This window comes from Homo sapiens, chromosome 2, assembly GCF_000001405.40.
Source record: "Homo sapiens chromosome 2, GRCh38.p14 Primary Assembly".
Lineage (NCBI taxonomy): Eukaryota > Metazoa > Chordata > Mammalia > Primates > Hominidae > Homo > Homo sapiens.
The window spans coordinates 57,874,715-57,881,859 of record NC_000002.12 but is presented as its reverse complement, the minus strand read 5'-3'; the positions used below and the strand labels follow the sequence as shown (position 1 = coordinate 57,881,859).

Below are 7,145 nucleotides of genomic sequence, written 5' to 3'. Positions count from 1 at the left end.
TATCCTTAGTGTTGACTTATTTAAGTCAGGCTTTGGGTCAGATTCTTGACTCTTGTATGCCTGCTTGTCCACTGGGAGAAGGGGGAGAAGAGCAGTACTTGGCACCCAGAGAAAGTTCATGAAGTGCGTTAAGGGCCTGAGTTGAAAGGCTGTAACATCATACAGAAGTGGATAGCATTCTATTTTTATTGACAGCATGAATAGGAAGCATAGGTGGTCTGACTGAAAACATCTCTGAATAAGAGTCTTTTCAGAAATGTGGAATGATTGGCAAAGGCCTAGAAGGCAGGAATGTCATATGCCTTGGCCCTGGAAATTGTCATTTGGCATAGAAGGGGTAGCATTAGAGTTGGCCTCAGATCCTCATGGGCTCAGAGGTGTGGAGGAGGGAGAACAAGTAGAGCTCTCCTTCTCCACTGTTGGGGCCCTATTACATGCTGCTGAAATAACTCTGACACGTTGGGGCTGTTAATGCAAATTTAGAAAATAAATCAGTCTTGGGGAGATGAGTGATAAAATGCAAACAACAGGGAAAGAAAGGGTCTTTGTTTACTTTCTCTTTTCCTGGTGTATGGCTAAACAGGTTAAACACCTGTGAGAAGAGGGTGCTTCAGGGACACCCTTATACTCAAATTGTTCATGGGTGTCTTGGAGATTGCATTCCTCTCCTTGTGCAGTGATTAGTTGCCTCTTCGTCACTGGCGACGCTGGCAGCGAGGAGCAGGGCCTTCACCTGCAGGTGTTGCCATGGCAAAGGACACTTGGAATAGATTCAGGCAACATTAAAATGCAAAAGTGAAAATAAGAATAGAGAGAAAATAGAAGCTTGATTCAGGGAGACATTTGAGTGGGTCAAATCGCCTCCCTCACAATAGCCATTGCCAAACTTGAGATCAACCCCACCTTTTCCCTCTTGACTCCTGAGGTTCTCTGAGCTCTGGCTATGAGGTGCAAAAGACGACTTTTTTTTTTTTTTTTTTTTTTTAAACACAGTAAGGTTTACATTATTTTGTTCCTAAGAAATATGATTTGGTTTCTTAATCCAAACAGGGTTAAGAAATTATGAAATGAGAATTGGTTTTTGGATGCTATAAAACAATTCCTTTTTTAAAAAAAATTCAAAAGTTGGCTAGCAAAGTAGCTCGTTTTATTGGCTCTGGATTTTTCTCTCATTACCACCTTCTTTAACATCCACGTGGCTTATCAAGGAAGCCAAACCACATTTTTCCTGTGTCATCCCAAGAGACTTTGCCTTAACTTTCACTTGGTTTTCACATTGAATTAAGCGTTTTCTTTCTTACCACTTCTGTATATTTATCTATTATTCAGAATAGTCGGGTTTATTTACTAAGCTTCCCTAGAACTTGAAGATATTTATGGTCAGAATTCCTGTAAGTTATTATTCTCTAAGTCAGAAAATCATCTATGTCTCTAAATATTTTAAGAATTCCGAGTTAAAGCCAGTGGCAGATTCCCTTTTTACACTCTGACTTGTTGATTTGCTTTGTTATCTAGGTAGTGATGGTTAATAATAACATAGTAGTAATAAATATTTACTGACTGTATAACCAGTTACATTAGAATTCTTGGGGATGGGCCTAGGTATAGGTGCAATCTCAGTGCTCCCCAGGGTTAAGGAACTGTGTGGTGGAGGTTCATGGGATGATTGGGAAGGTAATGCCTGTTCCATGGTGGATACTTGAGCCACATTGGTTTGCTGAATTGCTTATGAGTTATTGTAAAAAAAAAAATGTACCTTGCCTTTGGTTACCCCTTCTCTTTACAAGGGCAGGGTAAAATATGGGGCTCAGCTAGGCTGTGGGAATAGGGAATGGTGTGGGAGAAGCTTGGGCCTAGGAGCAACATCTGTGGGACTCTTCCTTCTATGCCCTTCTGAATCTATTGAGAAGGATCAGCTAACTCTTTGGTGCTATGCTATTAGAAACCCGGAATTAAAATAGAATATTTCTTAAAATGGAAGGGCTTGCAGTTAACTCAGGTCTGTACAGTGAGGCCCCATTGTTGGTAAGCACTTGGGCAGGGAGGAACCATCTTCTGGATATTGGAGTTATCTGCATGCTCTATGGATTTTCATTTCATATCATTTCTGTGTTTCCTGTAAAAATGAAGAGAAAGTTTCTTCACTGTGAACCTTCTCTTATGTGATCTAGGGTACAATTAACCCTACTCAGCTTTCATCTTGAAAATCGATTCAAGTAAACAAATGACATTTCTTAAGAAAGGTCAGTGGGGAGGTTTTACTGTAACATCTATTCTAAGCTGGAACCTGGGAAGTCCTCACAGGTCCCACAACAAGAAAATTTCATTTAAATGGACTAGGAGAAAAAGGGCAGAAAGAAGAATGAAGAGGGCCTAATACTGAACTGTAGTTCTCCTACATCCAGAGGTTAATAAAGTTCCTAAGTTTGCTATGTACAAAGAAAATTGCCTCCAAAATAACTAGTAATACTAGCATTCTCTGACCGTTTGAAGGTCAATATAGTAAAATACTTTTCTGAATCTGCTGTCTACCTCGAAAAAGGTATGTACAAAGATTGCACCAGATTTTCTGAATATTCTGGACAAATTCTGATCTGGTTGTACAGTTTAACCAATTGTCAGTATGCCAATACCCTATGCGTGAAGCTGAGGCACCAGAATGATTTGCTGTCTACTCAACATCTCCCTTATTCCACACTATAAGTAGGTCCCAGAAGTTCTTTGATGGGACAAAAAGAATTAATGCCAAAGTTGAATGAGTTACAGCCGCTACCACCTAATTAAAATGATTTTGTGCCAGTTGCTTTTGTTGGGCAAGATCCACACATAATATAATTTTAATCCTGTTTATATGCACTCTTGGGATAGATTTGAGATCAGCATTGCCATTTAAGTGAGGTTAATCAAGCATACTGTATGCAGCTTTTGTTTCTCCACTGTATGTGAAAGGTGACCATTGCTGACAGGTTACCCAACTGGCCGCTTACTCTATTAACAAGAAGGAGGTGGTTTTCAGTGTCTGGTCATTAACCTAGCCTCAGCCCCAGTGACTCTTTTCGCCTAGTCCTTGGAATAGTGCAGCTGTTGTCAGTCGCAGAGGAGAACTCTAGTTATGAACCGCTTTGCTTTGGCTGCAGCGACATGCCTCTACACAAGGAGGGGGGGAGGGAGAAAAAAAGAAAAAAAAATACAACTCCCCTAAAAAGCAAACACCGTTTTTTTTTGTATGCCTGGCTCTGTTTATGTATATAAAATGGACATTATGGTGGAGTGAAAAAGACCCTCGTAAAAATCCTTCTTGAAAACTATTGTTGCTGACAGCCATGACCTCTGTGAGTCTGCATGTTTACCCATAATTCATAATTAACAAAGACATTAGAACTGCCACAGGAGAATTCTGGGCTTTATTTCTTTCTAACTGGGCAGTACTAATGCTGGAAGTGCTCCCAAATCAGTGATTTAACATTTCAGGAAATCTTGGAGAGGCAGCAGAAGCCTCCTTATATAGCTCATACGCTGGGACTTTGGTGATACAGATACGGCCGAGATAATTATTCAGCTCTCGTTATTGCTGTAGCTCTGCACCTGATCCCCGAGCCATTAGAGCACTCTGCAGGTTATTACAACTATCAAACATCAAGGTCTCTTTTCTAGTCTCTTGACTATGTGGTTATCATTTTACTTCTTTTAAATCCCCCATCTGCATAGAAAGCCTCTGTGTTTTTTACAGAGATCTGCTCACAGCCTTTCCCCCACCCTTTCTTTATTGCTCCCTAAATGGAGTCCTTTTCTTACTAGCACATTAGCATAAAAATATAAACCTCATGCTTCTCCACTTGTATTGTTTTTATACCCTCTCTCTTGTTTGATTTCCTCTTTGAGGCTGTGCACACCTACACTTTAATTTGGGCAGCCAATGAGTCAGTGGAAGAGAATTCTCTTGAGCTCAAGGAAACCATGATAATATAATTTCTGATGATGGGTGTTATCAGTGGCCATGTTTAACCTTTTCCTTAGTTGAAGGCCCTCTTGACTTTATTGGGTGTTTCTACCTATTGCTGCTGTATCATAGATTATGCCCCGAACCAGCAAATTGCAAGAGAATATAATGACAACTTGCCAAAAAAAAAAAAAAAAAAAAAGAAAAGAAGAAGGGGGGAGGATTTTGTATTGTGGATGTACTTAATAATTCATTAGTTTTTTTTATCTCTTTCCCAGAAAGTGTACCTTTCTTGAAATTTAATAGGAAACTGTCTTTTTGATGACATGTATTTTCAGTTTTGGTCACAATCTAGTCCTGTAATAAGTTTGCTTCCATTACTTTTCTAAACAAACTATAAGATATTAAAACCAGACAGCTCTGAATATTCTGAGCACTGTGTCAGCTATCTAGGGATAGGCAGTCACTTATGATACATAAAGATAATAATACAAATTAAGAGTCTGAAGCAAGTCTCTTTGGACTGCATCTTAAATGAAAGCAAGTTGTTGTTTCTGAATGTTTTACACAGACTTGCTTCTCTTCAAAACCTTTATTTAACATGATCTCCACCAAACACCTGTAATAAAAAAAAGGCACTCCACCCGCTGCAGGCCTATATATAGAAAAAGCTAATCCACAAGGGGTGAGGGGCAGTCACAGACAGTATGGTGGGGCTGAGAAACATATGGCTTCCTCACTTAATATTGCTGCACAGTTGTCCCACACCATATTCCCTTAAATGGGCATTAATTTTGTAGCCAAATTAGCAGGCTATAAAAAATGAAAATAAAGACACTTTTTGATACTACAAAAAACCACCATTAAGCGTGACTTGATAGCATCTATCCATTATCTCTGTGTGTATATTGTCGGCAGGTGTAGTAAGTGGTGCATGTAAAAAATGAAATATAGAGAGGTTTCAAATGTAGGTAGTGTTTTTATGAGCAGTGAAAGTTAAGTAACTGTGTGCTTTAATCTGTACTTTACTTCATCAGCCTATGCAGAGAAACCATCTGATATTCCTGACTTATAGAAGAGACTGGTTTCTTTTAGGATCTCCTTCTGGCCCCTTCTGTTGAACCAAGGAGGTTTTAAATATTTTTAAAATCATATTCTCCTCTTTTGTTAACTTAATGGTGAATGTGTATTTTCTTCCCTAGGAACTAAGGAGCATAGACTTCAACACAAAATATATATTTATTAATGCAAATTCATATAGATCAACTATAACAGTAAATCAGTAGGTAGCATTTGTTGTGAATTGTTTCCCCATTATCAATGACAGCAGTAAGAATGCTTCACCTTGGGAACTTTGTATTACTGCTGAATCATTTGAATACTGTCAGAGGTTCCCTATTTAGGATGTACTTTCATTTTTACTACTATATGAAATTGTAATTCCTCCATATGTGGTGATCCTTAATACCAGAAACTATGAGTTAAAATCTTTCATTTTATCTAGTCTGCCCTTCTTATTTAATGTGAAAACAAACTCAGAGAAGCCAAATAACTTGCTTAAAGTCACACAGCCAGCTAGTTCATAGAAAACTTTGGTTCTGGTCTCTTGACTCTTTCTTTCTACTATACCACATTGCTGCTTCCAATAATTATATAATTATCGATGTTCCCAAAGCAAGAGAAGGCACTTGTGAGTTTTATTTCTAGAAAAAGTGATAGTTTGTTCTTAGCCATTCATTCGCTCATTGGTGAGAAAAATGCATAAATTTGCAAGATGGCGGGCCAGCAATATGGCAAAGGTCTTTTCTTTGTATGACAACCAACTGACCCCTAAATGAATTGAACCCTGACCCCCTTCCTCATTAGCTCCAAGAAAGCTAACTAGCCCAGAAACAATTGTTACAAGCAAGCTACAACACAAATTCACCATGTTATTCCTATGGGATTAATTAGAGAGCTAAAACAATGCTTTCTCTTTGAAAGACATACAGAATCATATTGTTATGTTCTTCTGACTTGCGAACCTCTTGAAATTTAATGCAAAATTTTATGTAAGGACAAATATATATTCCTCTGGAGAGAGGGTTCCAAGTTTGCATAAGATTTTCACGATGTTTGTGAGTGTGTGTGTGAGATCCAAAATAGGTTGAAAGAGTTGTTCTATTTCATGCTCCAGTGCATTGTGCTGATGTCATCACTGGTGTTGGTGCACTACCAAAAATACAAGAATTGCATTATGCTTCACCATATTGGAGGGCTATATTATTTATATATTTTTTTCCTTAAAAAAAGGGATGGCAAGTAAATCTATACATGTAGCCCTTATAATTAGCACCAAATCGATAAGGAGTAATTTGGGATATTATGATAATTTAATTTGAATAGGGATGAATGTCACCCAAATCTTGAGTGCTGACTTTTTGTACCCAATGAGAAAAAGAAGGCTATAGCCTTGAGTGTGGGGACATGATAGTATCCAGGATAAGGAGAGTGGACTATACAAAAAATGAAATATTCAAATATTTGACAGCATCTTTAACTTACTTAGATGTTATACAATAAATAGTCAATAGGACCTTTCTAGTAATCAGGGGGTTAAAGCACTATAAAGAAACTTCCATATGTACTTTGTTATCCAAGAGACAGATAGAGAGATGTCGTTCTACTGATATATTACATAAATCATGGTGCCAGCCAGAAAAACAACAGATGACCAATTTGTACAAAGCATTTTTTCCTTATGTTACATTTATTTAAAATACATTAAATCGTTGTGCTAAAATTGAGGCAGCTGGCAGTCCAGGCAACCTTATAAGATTTGTGTTTTCTGGATCCAGGCCCATTCATTTGGAAAGGTGAATCCACTGGGCTAATATATTTGCTTAGTCATATGCCAAGCCCTTGGAGAACACAGGTAGTCCAGAATTTACCATGCATTCCATTTTTTAAAAAAAATCAGAAATATCCTGACAAATGAAAGTCAGATGGTTAATGCCCATTTACTTCCAAGTGAAGTCACTGATTAATGGTGCCAAGTCTCAACCCAAAGAAAAAGACTCATATGGGATGTAATCTGAGAAATCTGGCCATTTTCCAGGGGCTTCTTGTCTCTTACTTTATATACATCAACAACGTGGTGATGCCTAGTTGACCTTAAAAATAAAAGTCATGTCTGAGTTGGATGGGTTTGTGTTAAACTGATTCA

General features: G+C 38.1%; 2 annotated features.

Moving 5' to 3' along the window:
* Window positions 1,120-1,320: a silencer, noted in NCBI's record as "peak3708 fragment used in MPRA reporter construct". NCBI's record gives its function as "represses an SCP1 promoter by STARR-seq MPRAs in K562 erythroleukemia cells {active_cell/tissue: K562}" and the evidence as "EXISTENCE:reporter gene assay evidence [ECO:0000049][PMID:32103011]".
* Window positions 3,568-3,647: a silencer, noted in NCBI's record as "silent region_11504". NCBI's record gives its function as "represses an Ori minimal core promoter by ATAC-STARR-seq in GM12878 lymphoblastoid cells {active_cell/tissue: GM12878}" and the evidence as "EXISTENCE:reporter gene assay evidence [ECO:0000049][PMID:35858748]".